Source organism: Homo sapiens, chromosome 1 (genome assembly GCF_000001405.40).
Source record: "Homo sapiens chromosome 1, GRCh38.p14 Primary Assembly".
Classification (NCBI taxonomy): Eukaryota; Metazoa; Chordata; class Mammalia; order Primates; family Hominidae; genus Homo; species Homo sapiens.
In genome coordinates this window covers 160,571,504-160,591,049 of record NC_000001.11, presented here as the reverse complement: position 1 = coordinate 160,591,049, position 19,546 = coordinate 160,571,504, and the positions used below count along the sequence as shown (strand labels likewise).

The 19,546-nt window shown below is 38.9% G+C and overlaps 1 protein-coding gene across 7 annotated transcripts in view, besides 1 other annotated feature; it reads left to right on the top strand.

Annotated features, from left to right (window-relative positions):
- Positions 1–11,553: 11,553 nt before the first annotated feature.
- Positions 11,554–19,546, top strand: part of CD84 (CD84 molecule) — a 38,399-nt gene continuing 30,406 nt past the window's right edge. For all 7 annotated transcript variants that reach the window (XR_921991.4, NM_001184882.2, XM_011510095.3 and 4 more), the window contains exon 1: positions 11,554–11,658. Coding sequence is in view for 6 of the 7 variants with exons in the window: in NM_001184882.2 (NP_001171811.1) it covers positions 11,613–11,658 (46 nt within the window). In the remaining variant the exon portion in view is untranslated. The remainder of the gene's footprint in view (positions 11,659–19,546) is intronic.
- Positions 15,135–15,184: an enhancer, noted in NCBI's record as "active region_1934". NCBI's record gives its function as "activates an Ori minimal core promoter by ATAC-STARR-seq in GM12878 lymphoblastoid cells {active_cell/tissue: GM12878}" and the evidence as "EXISTENCE:reporter gene assay evidence [ECO:0000049][PMID:35858748]".

Here is a 19,546-nt window from a genome sequence, read left to right as displayed (position 1 = left end):
GAATCTGCCAACCCCTATCTTGGACTTCCCAACCTCTAGAACTGTGAGAAGTAAATGTTTGTTGTTTACAAGCCACTCGGTTTATAGTATTTTGTTATAGCAGCCCAAACAGACTAAAATACAGAATATCTTCCGTTTAGCAGAATTTACTCGGAGCTTACCAAGTACCCCAGCACTTACAGAGAAATTAGTTTCTCAATTTAAAATATTGAGTCTATAAAGAAGAGCCATTTAAGGCACCAATACATTTGTCCAGCAAAGTTATCTCTCCCCAAGCCCTGGCTATAGGCTGCACCACTGCCTCTGCAACTGTGACCTTGGCTCCAGCCACCATGCTTCCTCACACACCAGGCACCAGCTACTTAGTCTGCAGGAGGGTGAAGGGCTCTGCAAGGCAAGTGGAAAATCTAGCTCACCACAGAATGGTGGCTGCCATTAAATAACCACAAAACGCAAATTTGAAGAAGCTTACAGGTAATTTTATAAGATAATTAAAGTAATAAGATCAAAGTTAGTTAAAAAGTACATTTTTAGAAAAATAATCCAGTGACTTTGTATGAGAGACAGATACGGCTAAAAAACTGCAACTGTGTGCCTATGTACCAGGAATAATTATTCTAATTATGTTGTTGTTGATGTGCAGATGACCAATAATATAAATATAGTTTAATATATAAGTAGTAATAAATAAAATTTTGATCTTACCTCAATAAACATAAATATATTTTATGTTTATTTTTAGAAATAATTTTATTTATGAAAATGTCTTTAATAAAACTATTTTACCAGTTTACCAATTTAATAAAAATATATTTTTCACCCAATATATTAATATTTCAAAAAATCAAATAACAATTAGTCTAGTGCTTCTTTATCCCAAACATCTCCTTGTTTGGATAATAAATTATATCTTTACTCTAGGCCAGGCACAGTGGCTCACTCCTGTAATCCCAGCACTTTGGGAGGCCAAGGCAGGTGGATACCTGAGGTCAGGAGTTTGAGACCAGCCGGCCAACATGGTGAAACCCTGTCTCTACTAAAAATACAAAAATTAGCTAGGTGTGGTGGCGGGTGCCTGTAGTCCCAGCTACTGAGGAGGCTGAGGCAGGAGAATCACATGAACATGGGAGGTGGAGGTTGCAGTGAGCCAAGATCACACCATTGCACTCCATCCTGGGTGACTGAGCATGACTCTGTCTCAAAAAAAAGAAAAAAAATTATATTTACTCTAGAAAGAGGAGAATAAAGAACTGACCAATAGAGTTCTATAGAGATCACTGATAAACTTGATAGAAGGAGCCTTAGTGGACTCAGGAGCTGTATTGGAGAAGGCTAAAAATAAAATAAAGTGAAGTAAGGAAGTGGAGAGATGACAATATATTTATTTTTTAATATGTTTTGCTTTTAATAAGAGCAAAGAAAATGAGACAGTGTATAGTGGAAGAAGCGAGGTCAGGAGATATTATTTTTGCAACTAGGTTATAAAGTATATATCTATGTGTGTTTGTGTTGTTGCCCAGTAATGAGGCAGCAATTGATGATGCAGGATGGAGGTAAAGGGATAGAGTCCAACTAACCAGAAGATTGACTTTTCATTCAAAGCCACAGTTGCAACCTTCTGGTAGACACGTTAGTTTTTCTCTTCCTTATTCTGCTTAATTCCCATATTATTAGATCTTTATTTGTCTTTTTTGTAAGCATAAATAGTAACATAAATAGAATAACAAAAATAGTATAATTCTGGTACATAGTTGTATTAGTTTTTCAGCTATATCTCTCTATACAAGATTACTGGAATTATTAAGAATGTCTTTTTAAACTAACATGAGTCTTATTAATTTGGTTATCTTCTTTTCAAATCAGTTTTGAAAAAATAGGAATGAAAAAGAGGAAGCAAGAGAAGGAAGAAGGAAGGGAAAAATGTTTTTATTTAAAAGCAGAACCTTTCTCTATGCTTTGAAGATATGGATTAGATGCTAATAATTGTCTCTGAGCAAATAACCTAAGAAATGTGTGTGCGCATATGTGTTTGTGTGTGTGTGTGTGTGTGTGTGTGTGTGTGTGTGTAGGGGACTTGCTGTTCTTTTCATTGTTTTCCCTAAGTAATTGGAGAAAATGCCAGTAAGCCTTAGCTGACATTTCATGGTCTTTCTGACCAACAGTTAAATCCAAGCTTCTTTGTTTTACATTACCCCAAAATAGATTTCCTTATGCTGATACAGAGAAAGTAATTAGGTCCTTCAATTCAGCTTGCATGTTGAGAATACCAAAATTGTCACAAAATTTAGCCCTTCCCGTCCTGATATTTATCATGTTAGGTTACTCACATGCTGCTGCTGATCGTGTTTTTGAGTCAACTAGAAAAGCACAATCCATTAGATAAATAACCTCTAAGTTCATGACCCCATACACTAGGTAGTTGAGAAAACTGCATAAGAATGAAAACATTTTGGCTGGGCGCAGTGGCTCATGCCTGTAATCCCAACACTTTAGGAGGCCGAGGTGGGCAGATCACCTGAGATCAGGAGTTCAGGACTAGCCTGGCCAACACGGCGAAACCCCATCTCTACTAACAATGCAAAAATTAGCCGGATGTGGTGGTGCACATCTGTAATCCCAGCTACTCAGGAAGCTGAGGCAGGAGAATCGCCTGAATCAGGAGGCAGAGGTTCCAGTGAGCCGAGATCATGCCAGTGCACTCCAGCCTGAACAACAGAGCGAGACCGTGTTTGTTTTTGGACATTCAAGATTCAACTACACAATGAGAAATTCCCACAATAACATATATGTCAAAGGTCCATCCAGTCTTGGCTTTAACTGTTGATTCCGGGATGACAATTGTTAGGGGGAAATCTGTAGGTTGAAATGCTCTACTTTCCTGGAGCAACATTTATGGTTTACTAGTTCTGTCCATGGAGACCCCTTGACACCAAACACCAGCATTTCAAATACCTGGCTGTAATTATCACACTGATCCACATGATGCCTTAATCACAGCCCCCTCACTAGGTTTTCTCTTTTCCGGGCCAATGAATCCCAATTCTTTCACTGTTTGTCATATGGAAGTGTTGAACATAGCCCTGGAAACAAACCTAGTACTCAATAAATCATAATTTTGTCTGTCTTATTGTTCCGTGCCCAGTCTTTTACAATCTGTTGCCCTCTGGTGGATAGTTTTCCAGATCATTAATGTCCAAATGGTGTATTATAATTAACCTATTAGTGATAATACTATTAAGAATGAACATTTATTAAAAGCTTATAATGTGCCAAGCACTTTGCTAAGTGTTTTCAGACATTCTCATTTAATACTCAAAACAAACTTAACACGCTAATATGGCAATTCTTATTTTACGGATGAGGAAAACAACACTTAGAACAGTTAAGAAACCTGATCAGGGTGGCACAGTTGAGGGGTGGGGGCAGTGATCCTTCCCCTTTTCTCCCAAGCCTTCATTTACTTGCATCACAGTGCCATCTTATAACTTTATATTGGTTCTCATCTAAACTGTGGTTTCCTCCCTTCACTTTTCTCATGACAGGTTTTTTTTTGTTTTTTCGGTTTTGTTTTTTGTTTTTTTTTTAATGTTCCGATAAAACTTTACATTTATACGCTGGGCGCGGTGGCTCACGCCTGTGATCCCAGCACTTTGGGATGCCGAGGTGGGTGGATCACCTGAGGTCAGGAGTTCCAGACCAGCCTGGACAACATGGTGAAACTCTGTCACTACTAAAAATACAAAAATTAGCTGGGTGTGGTGGTGCATGCCTGTAATTCCAGCTACTCGGGTGGCTGAAACAGGAGAATCGCTTGAACTCAGGAGGCAGAGGTTGCAGTGAGTCGAGATCACGCCACTGCACTCCAGCCTGAGCTACAGAGTGAGACTCGGTCTCAAAAACAAACAAACAAACAAAACTTTACATTCAGAAACAGGCAGCAGAAAGGCTGTATTTTGATGATTCCTGTATTAGTTAGTTTAAATTTGTTTTCCCATTCAATTATCCTAAATAAACTTTAGATAAGAAATCAGGCCGGGCGGGGTGGCTCATGCCTGTAATCCCAGCACTTTGGGAGGCCGAGGCAGGTGGATCACCTGAGGTCAGGAGTTCAAGACCATCCTGGCCAATATGGTGAAACCCTGTCTCTACTAAAAATACACAAATCAGCTGGGCATGGTGGTGTGCACCTGTAATCCCAGCTACTCGAGTGGCTGAGGCAGGAGAATCACTTGAACCTGGGAGGCAGAGGTTGCAGCGAGCCGAGACTGTGCCATTGCATTGGGCAACAAGAGCGAAAACTCTGTCAAAAAAAAAAAAAAAAAAAGAATTCACAGGTTATTCAACTTGACCACCTGATATTGAGACAAGTATTCAACTTGACCACCTGATATTAATACAAGTATTCCACTCAATAAGTAGGAAAACTGAATTTGAAACTCAAGTTTTGTGACTCCAACACTTGAGAGTGTGTAATCTTCTTTTTTAAAGATTTAATTAATTTTTTAAATTGACAAATAATAATTGTACATATTCATGAGTTACATAGTGATGTCTTGATATATATAATTTATAGTGATCAAATCAGAGTAGTTAGCTTATTCATCCTGATGGTTTTATTGTAAAGCTCAAAGCTTTGGTCACAGAGGCAAACGTTTTTGGAGTCTTTTTATGCTATTTGGTTTTTTGTATTGCTTGTTCAGAGCCTAAACTTTGCTTGACACTACAAAAATTGCATGTACTCTTTCATTTCCCTTTTAATTATTTGCAGAATTAAAAATGTTTTCATATTTCTCTTATTCAAACCCTTCGTTGTTTTGCTTTCATGACATCAACTCTCCTGTTTTCCTCCTATTGCTTTAATAATTCTTTCTTTCTTCTCTTTTCTTTCAGTTATAGTTGTTTTCCAGAGTTTTATTCTTATGTTTTGTTTTTTAATTTACCCTTTATCTAGTATAGAGAATTTTTCAACATGGAATTAAAGATAATTATGAATCAGGTACAACTGAAGACTATGAAAAGACTTGGAAATGAAAGCGTATTACCAAAGTTTAAAACTCAAGCAAATAGCTGAAAACTGTAAACATAGCTGAGAACCCATGTTTGGAAGACATTCTATAGGGTGTCTATAAGGAACTCTATCAGTATGTAAAGCAAGAAGACAAAGAGAAAATCAGGAGATATTAATTCAGCAATATAGAGGATAGCTTTAAATATTTAGGAGGACTTTTAGGAAGAGCAAGTAGAAAGGCCAAAAAGGAAGCCATAATCAAAGACACAGAAGAAAAATTCCCTTTGATAAAGAAAGATTTGAACCATCAGACTGAAAATACAACTGATTCCAGCCAGAAATATGCCATGCAAACACACCAGGACACATCCTTGTAAAATCTTGAATTTCTGTGATAAAGGGAAAATCTTAAGTGTTTCCAGATGGAAAAGTTAAAGAACAAGAATAAAACTAGTATATGTTTTCTTGTTGCAAACCTAAATGCTGGAACCAATTTAGAACTTTCATTTGGTTCCTTTCTGGGTTTTTATTTCTGTCCAGAAATACCAATCTCTTCAATCTCAGACTTCAAACATTTATGAAAAATGAAATTTAAAAAGAAAAACTAAAAATGTAAACTTTATTTCTCAATAGAAGCTCCATCAAGTTCAAAACACTTTTGAAAGTGATGATACCAACCATTTAGAACATCCCTGAAGGACTGAGTGTCCTGGATACTTAACTATGTTAATGTAGTATTTTTACATTATTAACTGAACAAAAATGGGTGTCCTTTAAAGATTTTTTAAAGATTAGGAAACAAAAAGAAGTCAGAAGGAGCCAAATCAGGACAGTAAAGTTGATCCTAAAGATTTCCTATTGAAAAATGAGCAGGAGCTTTGTTGTAGAGAAAGACTCTAGCAAAGCTTTTCTGGGCATTTTTCTGCTAAAGCTTTGCCTAACTTTCTCAAAATACTTTCATAATAAGCAAATGTTATTGTTCTTTGGTCCTTTAGAAAGTCAACAAACAAAATGCCTTGAGCATCACAAAAAACTGTTCCAATGACCTTTGCTCTTGACTGGTTCACTTTCGCTTTGACTGGACAGCTTCCACCTCTTGGTGGCCATTCCTTTGATTGTGCATTGTCTTCAGGATTATACTGATAAAACCAGGTTACATCTCCTGTTATAATTCTTTGAAGAAATGCTTCTACAAAGCATTTTCAAAGTGGGATCATCCTGCTTCTTTAAAATTTCCATTGAAAGCTTTGCTCTTGCCTTCAGCTGATCTGAGAGCAACAACTTTGGCACTCATTGAGTGATAAGTTCGCCCAATTTTAATTTCTCAGTCAGAATTGTGTAATTGGTTCAATACATGGAAATCAATAAACGTAATCCATCCCATAAACAGAACCAATGACAAAAACCACATGATTATCTCAATAGATGCAGAAAAGGCCTTTGAAAAAATTCAACAGCCTTTCATGCTAAAAACTCTCAATAAACTAGGTATTGATGGAACATATCTCAAAATAATAAGAGCTCTTTATGACAAACCCACAGCCAGTATCATACTGAATGGGGGAAAAAACTGGAAGCATTCCCTTTGAAAACCAGCACAAGGCAAGGATGCCCTCTCTTACCACTCCTATTCAACATAGTATTGGAAGTTCTGGCCAGGGCAATCAGGCAAGAGAAAGAAATACAGGGTATTCAGATAGGAAGAGAGGAAGTCAAATTGTCTCTGTTTGCAGATGACATGATTGTATATTTAGGAAACCTCATTGTCTCAGCCCAAAACCTCCTTAAGCTGATAAGCAACTTCAGCAAAGTCTCAGGATACAAAATCAATGTGCGAAAATGACAAGCATTCCTATACACCAATAACAGACAACAGAGAGCCAAATCATGAGTGAACTCTCATTCACAATTGCTACAAAGAGAATAAAATACCTAGGAATACAACTTACAAGGGATATGAAGGACCTCTTCAAAAACCACTGCTCAAGGAAATAAAAGAGGACACAAACAAATGGAAAAACCTTGCATGCTCATGGATAGGAAGAATCAGTATCATGAAAATGGCCTTACTGCCCAAAGTAATTTATAGATTCAATGCTCTCCCCATCCAGCTACCACTGACTTTCTTCACAGAATTGGAAAAAACTATTTTAAACTTCATATGGAACCAAAAAAAAGCCCACATAGTCAAGAAAATCCTGGGCAAGAAGAACAAAGCTGGAGGCATCATGCTACCTGACTTCAAACTATACTACAAGTCTACAGTAACCAAAACAGCATGGCACTGGTATCAAAACAGATATATAGACCAATGGAACAGAACAGAGGCCTCAGAAATAACACCACACATTTACTGCCATCTGATCTTTGACAAACCTGACACACACAAGAAATGGGGAAAGGATTCCCTATTTAATAAATGGTGTTGGGAAAGCTGGCTGGCCATATGCAGAAAACTGAAACTGGACCCCTTCCTTACACATTATACAAAAATCAACTGAAGATTGATCAAAGACTTAAACATAAGACCTAGGACCATAAAAATCCTAGAAGAAAACCTAGACAATACCATTCAGGACATAGGCATGGGAAAAGGCTTCATGTCTAAAACACCAAAAACAATGGCAAAAAAAGTTAAAATTGACAAATGGGATCTAATTAAACTAAAGAGCTTCTGCACAGCGAAAGAAACTATCATCATCATCAGAGTGAACAGGCAACCTACAGAATGGGAGAAGATTTTTGCAATCTGTCCATCTGACAAAGGGCTAATATCCAGAAGCTACAAAGAACTGAAAGAAATTTACAAGAAAAAAGGCAACAACCCCATCAAAAAATGGGCAAAGGATATGAACAGACACTTTTCAAAAGAAGACATTTACGCAGCCAAGAGATGTATGAAAAAATGCTTATCATCACTGGTCATTAGAGAAATGCAAATGAAAACCACAATGAGACCATCTCATGCCAGTTAGAATGGCAATCATTAAAATGTCAGGAAACAACAGATGCTGGAGAGGTTGTGGAAAAATAGGAACACTTTTACACTGTTGGTGGGAGTGTAAATTAGTTCAACCATTGTGGAAGACAGTGTGGCAATTCCTAAAGGATCTAGAACTAGAAATACCATTCGACCCAGCAATCCCATTACTGGGCATATATCCAAAGGATTATAAATCAATCTACGATAAAGACACATGCACACATATTTATTTATTTATTTATTTGCAGCACTATTCACAATAGCAAAGACTTGGACAAATGTCCATCAATGATAGACTGGATTAAGAAAATGTGGCACATATACACCATGGAATACTATGCAGACATAAAAAAGGATGAGTTCATGTCCTTTGCGGGGACATGGATGAAGCTGGAAACCATCATTCTCAGCAAACTATCACAAGATCAGAAAACCAAACAACTCATGTTCTCACTGATAAGTGGGAGTTGAACAATGAGAACACATGGACACAGGGAGGAGAACATCACACACTGGGGCCTGTGGGGGATGGGGGGGGCTAGAGGAAGGATAGCATTAGGAGAAATACCTAATGTAGGTGACGGGTGGATGGGTGCAGCAAACAACCATGGCACGTGTATACCTATGTAACAAAACTGCACGTTCTGCACATGTAATCCAGAACTTAAAGTAGAATAATAAAAAAATTAAGTTACATAAACGTAAAATAAAATACACAGTATTAAAAAAAATCTTGTAATACCATTTCCACATAAGAAATTCATCTCTCCAGTAAATTACATATCACCATAAACAAAAATATACAGGAACTGAGAGAAATCAATAACTCTACTGTTTTGTGCAAATGCAGTTGAGTTTATGATCACAACTGCCCTTATCTATAAGTCTGCTAACCCTTGAGCCTTGAAGGGAAAAGATAAACACCAGCAGCCAGTGTTTTAATTGTACCACAAGAAGGCCTGAACAACAAGAACATTTTTCCTGCATTGGTTTCATCAATACCCTGTCATTGAAGTCAGGAAATACCTTGCCAGTAAGGGACTGCGTTTTAAAGTTATTTTGATATTGGACAGTGCCCCTGGCCACCCAGAGCCCCAGGAGTTCAACAGCAAAGGCACTGAAATGGTATACTTCTCCCCAGACATGTTTCTAATTCAGCCTCTAGAACAGGGGGTCATAAGGACCTTTAAGGCTCATTATATACGTACTCTATGGAAAGAATTGTCAATGCCTAGGAAGACAACCCCAGGAGAGGGCCATCATGAAAGTCTAGAAAGATTACACCATTAAAGATGCTATCATTGTTGCAGAAAAAGTGGTGAAAGCCATTAAGCCTGAGACAATAAACTCTGCTTGAGGAAACTGTGTCCAAATGTTGTGCGTGACTTCACAGGATTTATGACAGAGCTAATCAAGGAAATTATGAAAGATATTGTGGATATGGCAAAAAAAAAAGTTGGGGTAAAAGGTTTCAAGAAATAAATCTTGGCAAAATTCAAGAGCTAATAGACACCACACCAGAGGAATTAATGGAAGATGACTTGATGGAGAAGAATGCATCTAAGCCAGGATCAAACAATGCGGAAGAAAACATAGAAGCAGCAGTGCCAGAAAACAAGCTGACATTAGACAGTCTGACAGAAGGCTTCTGACTATTCGGGACCGCTTTTGACTTCTTTTATGATATGGGCCCATCTATGGTATGATACAGGCACTAAAACTAAAACAAATGGTAGAAGTAAGAAGGGGTACCATATAGAAATATTTTTAGAGAAATGAACAAGCAAAAAAGTCAGACAAAAATTAAATATACTTCTGAAAAGTTACACCGACTGTGCCTGTCTCTTCCACCTTCCCTTCAACCTCCTCTATCTCTTCTTCCCCAGGGACCCCTGAGACAGCAAGACCAACTCCTCCTTATCCTCCTCCTCCTTAGCCTACTTAACATGAAGATGATGAGGATAAAGACCTTTATGATGATCTAATTCCACTTAATGAACAGTAAATATATTTTGTCTTCATCATGATTTTCTTAATACCATTTTATTTTCTCTAGCTTACTTTCCTGCAAGAATATGGTAAACAATGTATATGACACATAGAATATGTGTTAATCAACTGTGTTGTTGGTAAGGCTTCCTGTCAACAGTAGGCTATTAGTAGTTGAGTTTAGGGGTGTCAAAAGTTATGCATGGATTTTCGACTGGTTGAGGGGACAGCACTCCAAACCCCTGCATTGTTCAAGGGTCAACTATATTCAGTATTATGTAAGTATATATGGGAAATGATCAGCAGGATTATTTAATGTGTGACTCTAGAGGCCAGGTTACCTAGGAATGAGCTAGCTAGCATGAGGACTCGTCTCAGTTAAAAAAAAGCTCCTCCAGGTCTCAGGGGTAGTGTCCCCAGCCTTCTCATTACTCCCCAAAACAGCTGAGTCAAACTTAAATATTCATTTCTATCCCCATTCCCAGACAACATCTCCCATACACACATTACACAATCACTCTTATTCTTGTTAACCAAGATGAAGACCCTCTACAAGAAATAGTCCTGTTACATCTAGCTCAACTCCACCTAAGCCTGCCTCTGCACCTGCTGTCTCTCATGCCCAGGAGTCACAGTCTTTGCCAAGTGACACTGCTGGCTTTTAACTCAGTTCCCTAATTCACTGTGTGATATAGGGAAAAGTCACTTCCTCTCCTTCTGAGCCAGTTTCTCCATCTGCAAAATAGATTCAATAGTCTAAAAATCCCTTTTGACTTCATTTTTATCAAACACTTTTTGTGTCCCTAATAAGGTGTGATCATAATCATAATGTTTCATGATGATATCATGGAATTATACATAATTATATGTATGTAGTTATACTATATTATATATTAATATATTATATAATTATATATTATTGTATCATATATAAATATAATTATATATTATTAATATAATACTTAATATTGATTATGTTAAATAATATCACATGTTGATTATACATTATAATACATAATCATGTACTTGTGATCATTTTATATAACTATAATTATGTAATTTTAATTGCTATGTTTTTTTAAGCTCCTACCATATGTCAAAACATTTTTCCTCTTTCATATCCCCCACCGCCATTCGCCTAATAATGGTAATTCATTCTTTGAGCCTGTCTCAGGTTGGTTGTCAGTTTCTTTAGGAAGCCTACTCCAACTTTTCTTAGCCTGAGTTAGATGCCCCTATTCCTCTCATAGTTCCCTGTATTTTTCCTATTGCAATGCTTACTACATTAAATTGGAACTGCTTATAGAGTTGTTGATTACTCCAAAAAAGAGTATAAATGCCATGAAAGGAGGGTGATCAATTGTTTTGTTGCTCTGTATATTGCCAGCACCCAGAAGAGGGCCTGGCACATAGTAGGCACACAATAAATATGTGTTGAATAAATAATTAATGCTAGGCACTTTAAATTGGAAAAAACTAGCACAGTAATACAAAGACCAATGTTAACTAAATCAGTTAACATGCACTTCCTTTCTTAAATGTCGTTATAAAAAGGAGGAAGAAAACTCAAGTGAAACTGACTCTGCTAGAACAGTGCCGTGCTTTTCCACAGAAGGTTAGACCCTGAAAGAGATGGCTCAGCACCACCTATGGATCTTGCTCCTTTGCCTGCAAACCTGTGAGTTCTGACCCTTGCTGATCGCCTCCTAGTTTTCCATAAAGTTTTAAAAATTGCCCTTAAGGAAGACATTGAACTGTCTTTTTGATCTGTGTTTAGCAGAACACCCTGGGTCTCAGTATCTACTGTACTCAACAGGATCCAACTGGCTGGGGAGAGACTTAAAATTCAAACCTAAGTGTTTAGGTTCAGCTTTAAAGTTTATATTACTGAGTTATATTTCTGAGATCTGGAGATCTCAGTTTCCAAAGGTCTGAGGCAAATCCTTCTCAGAGGAATCAGCACTTGGTAAACCCACCCAAAAAGCCTGGCAAAAGAAAGATCTTCTAAAAGCTTGAATGACTTACAAGCAATTTCTTCTTGGCATTCAATTGTGATGGCGTTTGAGAGAGAAAAATGTCTTTCCTAATTATAGTTGATTGTTCTATCAGGTTAGAGTGATGGATGACTCATCGTTATCATTGTTGAGCCTCATCTCTATAAACTCCCTTTATTTTCAAAACACAGAGCTATTACTCTGCTTTTATCCTCAACAAACTCTAAAATAAATGAGGAAGAGATTACTATCCCATTTTTTACAAATAGTCTCAAAAAAGAGTTGGAGAACTTGAATTAAAAACCCTATTTTTCTTACTTATGGCATAACAGTAAACTAAAAGAACGACATGAATATTGATTGTTATTTGTACAAAGAAAATTGTAACATTAACATAGATCTGGGAGTGCTGTGTCATTGTACATGTTATCTCCTTAAATACAAACAATTGCTCTAACAGAAATTTACTATGTTTGGAACTTCTAGATCTACTTCTAGTATCTCTTGCCAGTTCTGAAAATGCACTAGCAGAATTCTGGCATGAGTTAGAACCCTGGGAACCTAGTACGTTTGGATTTTCTGTAAAGGTAGAATCAATGCACTGTGATCTCTCTGGTTTCTTTGGCCATTTCAAGCTATGGCTCCTTTAATTTGAACTTCATGGAGATTGTAACCACTAGTCAGACCAAATTTTTGGAGCCTCTGCTGGTCGCTCTAGAATGGCAGACAGAAAATGCAAGTAGATGAGGAATGGTACTAGGGATGTCCCTAATCTTCCAGAGAGAGACCAGACAAGGTAGCATTTGATACCACTTAATTTGCAAAACATTCTACAATGTTTATGCCTACATTCTTATGTCATCCATATGAAAACCATTGAGATGAGCAAGATAGACGTTATTAATCCCATTATGCAAGAAAAATAATAAATTAAGATTTAGGGGTTTAAAAATTCACCTGAAATTTCACTACCTAAATTGGTAGAGCTGGAAATAGACATTGGTTTTTCTAATTCCAAGGTTAATCCCAATCCCATTGGTTCTTCTTTCTGCTCCACCTGACCTCTTCACTCATTGCTTTCAAATTTTTGATGCTCTTCAAAAGGTTAATACCTGCTAAGATAAAAGGTAGCTCTAGGATACACTTCTTTCATCTACTGAAACTGAAATAAAGTTGTCAAATCAGCTAGTAGTGAATTGTTTACAAGTTTTGTGACCTAGACGAAGTTACATTCCTCCTCTGACTCTTGTTTCAGCTTCAAAATGGGGAGGTATTAATACAGTAGAATTGTTTTGAGAATCAAAATGATGATAATGCATGTACAACACTTGCCATGGTACCTGAATATAGTAAGTGTTTAACAGATATCAGCTAATGCTACTATTTTTCACACTCGCTTTTCATTCATTATTAGGAAGAGCCATGGCTTTACCACACAGAGATCCTGGGCAGGACTCCTCTGTCAGGGAATTGTCCAAGGAACATAAACAGGAGAAAAGGTGGTGGGAGTTTGAGCTTAGGTGTTGGTTGTCTGGGTTCTGGAAAAGGAAACTAGGAGTGAGATATTCATTTCATCAAGGATCCATGAAAGGGGAATGGGAGCTTGTTTTTATAAAAGTGAAGCCAGGAGTACTTTTTACATACTGTCCACCTTTACTGAATTATCTGTTTGCCTCTTAAGGATTATTCTGCAAACCTTTTCTGAGCACAAAAATATACCATGAATTCCTCCTGCTGCTGTTCCTGGTAGAGGTAGTCCCTTACATTCAGTATTGGGCTTAGGAGTCTACACTTTACACATTTCCCTGGAATTCAGAGCAGTTGAAGAGGCTGAGAAGCAGTGGAGAGATGCAGGGAGAAATCCCCATTTCCCCTCAGAAATCACCGACATAAGGAAAGTCTGAGTGTGCAAACTTATGACTGTTCCATGTTGGAAAAGTTTTCTCTGAGTCAAAATTCACAGTCTTATGCTCTGATGCCAACTTTCTGATCATGACTTTGGAAACACCATGACTCTGACTGTCTCTCCACATACCCTGGGAGACACTCCCACTCTGAGGGTAGGAGATGAAGGAGTCCACCAGTTTTAATCCTTGCCCACCCCCTCTACATATACTGTCTCATACTCTTAATTCTTCCTTTTCTCTGCCCCATTCGTATTTCTATTTCTTCAACTCCCTGTCTTATCTCCCATCAATAATAGTAATAAGTAACCATTTATGGAGCAATCACTGCATATTCAGCATTACTCTAAGTAGTCTACAGTTATTATTTTGTTTAATCCTTACAATACACTATGAGATAGATACGGTTTATGTGCACATATACAGATGAAAGCATTGATACACAGAGAGTCAAAGGCCACTTAACCAAAAAGTGAAAGAAGTAGAATTTAAGCTTCAGAGTCCTTAGACTTCACCTCTGAGTCATGCTGCCTCCACCCACATTGATGCTGAAGTGGAGTAAATTACTCTCCCTACTATTAATGTTTGGGAATATGTCAGTAAAGAGTGATGATTTATTTATTTCTGTCAAGACAGGATTATTCGGATAGAATCTGTGCCTTTCTCTATACCCACCCACAGAGGAGGAAGGAGCTGTTGGCAGGTCCTTGCCAATAACGGAAGTTTAGGCAGGGCAGTGAGGCAGAATACCCAAGCAAACAACCATCTCCAGACATATTTCAAATACCGTTCACTTTAATATTATTCAAATGTGATTTGAATTAGTTTCTTTAAACAAATAAAAGTCCAATATCAGCATGATGTTGATGTCTTGTTGGATGTTAAACATGGTCATGGGCATTTCAGCAGTTGAGACCTAAAATTCTAAGAAATGAGTGGGCTCACTATGGGTAACTGGACCCCAACCATCATCCTGGGGCTCAGAGACAGGAAGCATACCTGTGGAAGTATGCTGACAAAACAACCTGCCACTGATCTGAAGTCCTTGCATTGAGGGGTCTTCAAGATAAGGACAAGGCCTCTGTATTAGAATGAGATTTAAGCAGATGACTACCACAGACATTCAGAAAAGGGCTCAAAAGCAGAAATCCAGTTATAGAAATGGAAATATATTACATATGGGTAAAACTGCTTATCAAAAACCCAGCTTCCAAACAGAGGGTGGAAAGCTGTTCCCCCTGTGATAACTCAGGCCTTCAGTGGAAGGCAGCGGAGGCCTACCTTGTCAGCTCCAAGTGCTTGAAGCAGTCCTGGAGATCAATATGGAGGCCAACAAGGCAGCCAGAGCACCTTCGCAACAGGAGCCTGATGGTCGGTGCCAAGCCATTCAGGCTACTGGAGTATTCCTAAATCAAACCTTTCTTGTCTTGGACCTTAGGAAAGGGATGGACCTGTAAGTTTGGAGATCACTGGGCTCATCTATGTGAAACTTGGAAAGAGGTATGAGCAATCAGCTGGGGGCTGATATAGGTGGAACTGACTAGGTACTCTTGTTTCCTTTGTTATACTCAGTGTTCAAGTACACGCTAATAGAGGGCAGCAATGTTAAAACGGATGGCTATGATCTCATGTCTGTTTTGAGATTTTGTGTGTGTGTGTGTGTGTGTGTGTGTGTGTTTTGAAGGAACTGATTCAAGTAAACCTAAATCCCAATAAAGGTGATATAAAGTAAAACTCCCAGGGGAAAACAATGTACTATTGCATGGGGGTAGTAGGTTCCTTTTTCTTAAAACCTCATGATCAAGGACTTTCCGTCGCTTTGGAGAATGACACAAAATTTCTGCCTGCCCAGCCCTGTGCTTCCTCTTCCCCTCTATGTCCCTTCACTCAGTGTGAGCAGTTATAATGGACTCTCTTTTGGGCACCACATGCTAAAGCTACCTCTGGTCACTCTCCCAGACCTACAATACTCAGCGATGTTCCACCCCCACTTTTTGACTCTAGGAGGCAGTGGGTGGAGAAGAGGAGAGGAAGTTTAGCTAGTGCCACAAAAAAAGAACAAGAAATGTTTGTCTGGAGGATCCTAAGAAAGTAAGGGGGTGGAGGTGTCTGTTAAGCAACTGTGCAGTCTTCCCCATTTCCACTCTTATTAATAGCTACTTGCTGACTTTAACATCTCCCCAATACCCCAACTCTAATTTTTCCCTTCGTAGTTGTCTGAGGTGTTATTTTAGTCTCTTTGAAGATGTTTATTTGTTTTACATAGCAAACATATATAGTGCCTAGTATATGCCAGGCACTATTCTAAGAGGTCTACAAATATCAATTCATTTAACCCTCATAATATTTTTATGAGGTCAAATATTGTGCTACTATTACCTTCACCAATGTGCTAATATTACCTTCATTTTAAAGCTGAGGAAACTGAGGCACAGAGAGGTTACTGACTTTCCCTGGGGTTCATGGCCAGTCCCTGACAGAGCCAGGATTCTAGCCCAGGCAGGCTAGGCCTCAGTGACTAACCCATGGTGACATACAGGTGATTCCACAAGGCAAGGCTCTCCTTAGGACCACTAGACTCTCCTCCATTAGTACACACACTTGAGAGCACCCTCATGTCATTTAATCCTAATAATTCCTCAAAGTGGCAGGACAGCTCTGTTTTATTTCTTTTACCAACTAGAACCCTCTGACTTAGCAAGTAAGTGACATTCATGGTCATTTAGCTAGTCAACAACAGACCCTAGACTCAAACATGTTTCCTAATCCCTGATTCAGGACACTTTTACTAACTATGCTGTGGGTCCCCATTTTGTGGATCTAAAAAATTTTCTTCACAAACAGTATAGAATATAGAAAGAAATTGCAGTTAGCCATCTGATTCTTGTTAATAATCAGTTTAAATACTTGACCTTTCACATCAAGACCCAGAGATCAGTAAAGAGTCCTCTCTTGCCTTCACTCTTTCTCTTGCTGAGATTTTCTGCCTTGTTTTTCTATTGTTGGAAAAGATTAATTGAGTCAGTTGCAAAAAAAAAAAAAGCTTTGTTTTTTTTTGTTTGTTTTTGTTTTTTGTTTTGAGACAGAGTCTTGCCCTGTCACCCAGGCTGGAGGGCAGTAGCACAATCGTGGTTCATGGCAGCCTTGACTTCCCAGGCTCAAGTGATCCTCCTGTCTCAGCCTCCCAAGTAGCTGAGACTACAGGCATGCATTACCATGCCTGACTAATTTTTTTTTATTTTCTTTTTCATAGAGATGGGATCTCATTGTGTTTCCCAGGCTGGTGTTCATTTTTTCAACAAACATTTAATAATCATCCACTAGTTCTTGGAGGAACAGTAGTGATTGAAACAGACAAAGACTCACATTCTTGATAATTGCATTATAGTAGCAGTGTATTGAGGGGATGGGTTGGGAGACAATCAATAAATAAGCACAGGCAATGCTTTAGTGGTGATAACTGCAGTGAAGAGAAGGATAGTAAGGCAAGGCAAGAGAGAAGGATGGGGTGGGGATTGCTGTTTTAGGCACAGTGACCAGGAAAGCTCTTTCTAATGAGATGATGTTGGGAGAAAACCCTGAACAAAGTGGGGGACTGCTGAAAAGAGTGTGGTAGGAAAAGAGGAGAACAACAGGTGCAAAAGCTCTAAGGCAAAGTGCCCTTGGCCTGTTTACAGAACAGAGGGAGCTGATGTGGTTGGAGTAGGGAAGTAGGGGAAGATCAGGCAGAGCCTAGTAGTGATGGTTAAGATTATGAAAGGAGAATAGAGAGCTCCCCAGACTCCAAGGGTACACTGTGTTCATTTTTAATAGAATCTAAGGAGAATTATGGGGTTTTAGGTCTATATAACCTCTCCATTGTCATCCATATTTGACTTTGGATTCCACCCAAAACATCAGTAAGTTTTGCTTGCCCAGCCTTGAAGAATTTTCCTCTCATGAGTTAAAAGCCTCATACCTCAACAATCTTTATACAATCTATATATATGGGTTTCTGATTCTTTTCTATTTGTTTTTTGTTTTTTCAAATATTCTTCTTTTTCTCACGATCCCTATTGTCTTCTTCTAGTCAGTGGCTTTGAGCTGCCTAACCATGAAATGTACATTTGTAAAATCCATCCATATCCCTAGGATCATCCAGGGAAACAGGGTTATCATCTTAGACACAGAAAGGTGTATTGCATTGGGAAGGGTGCCCCAGCCCAATCCAGGAGGGGAAGGCAACCTCCAGTGAGCAACCAGTCCTCAGTGATCTCTTTCAACACTGGTCATCCTGCTCCCTGAGTCCTGGGCTCCCTCTTTGCCATAGCTACCTAAGAGTCACAGTGAACAGGTTTTTCCATCTAAGCCTGCACCCCAGGGTTTCAGCCTTTTCTTGCCTTTGCTTCTCCTCTAGAGGTATGGCCTTTCTCCTACCTTTCCCATTTGTGTTCTGGCATAAGAAGGTCACGAAATCACACTCTTTGGAAAAGGTTGTAAATGTGGGTTACCACTTCTTCACTGGGCTCTCAAGGGTAGTTAGCAAACACTTGATCCCCTTCATCAATCTCTTGTTGACTCCCTATGGTGTTCCTTATAGTAACATTCCCCCCCCCAATTTTTACATTCACCAAAATAATAGCAACTACCATTTATATGTGCCAGGCATTGTGCTAAGTGCTTTATCTTCGCAATTGCATTTAATAATTATCCACACTTTACAGATGAGGCACCTGAGGAACAGTGAATTTCAATAATTTTCTCAAGATAACACAGCTACGTTCAAATATTCCTAGATTCAAAATCTGCACCTTTAGTCTGTATACCTCCTAGCTGGTCCCACTCTTGCCTCCTCACTGTTGCCAGTTAGTCTCCCCTCCTACATTACTGAAGAGATGAAGGCCACCAAGAATGACTATCTTCCATTTTATCCTATCTATTCCAAAATGTCCACTGTGTATTAAGCACCTTCTATGTGTCCTCAAAACAATTCTATAAGGCAGGCATTATTATAGCCCATCTTGTAGTCAAGTAAGATCAGGGCCTCAGCAAATGTCAGGGATTGAACATGAGCACAAGCCCACCTGGCTCAAATCTATGCTCACTCTACTTCACCAAGCAGCCTCTTCCTATCACCGTCTTTAATAACATCTCAAAATACCTTTGCTCTTTCACTTATCCTTTCCTTTCCCCTTTCCACTTCAGGTGAGGGTGTGACCCTCCTTAAATCTACAGCTTCCACTGCCTGCCCTTTCCTTTCCATCTTTTGTTCCATGACAAGCATTAGTAGCCTGTGTATCTTGTGCTGTTCTGCATACCAGAGGTTTAAGGCAAGGCCCCTGGACTCAGTCATTCACAGTGTCCAGAACACAGACACGCAGATTGATGACCACCACACAATGTGGCAAGTGCTATGAGAGGGAAACCTGGAGTTCCAGAGAGGCCATGAGCAGGAGCATCTAACCTAGAGCAGGCCCACTGGGGACATCTCTCTCTGCTTACCCTCCCTAGCTCCTCCCCCCCAGCCCCCAGTCTCTTCTATTTTAAAACAAAAATAAATTAGTTTCACCTGACCTTCTAGCTACTGTCCTATCTCATCACCCTTCTTTCACTGTCAAGTTTTTCCTCCATGCTTTACCACCTACTCTGTCAGTCCCCTAGACTCTGGCCTTCCATCGAGTTGTCTTAC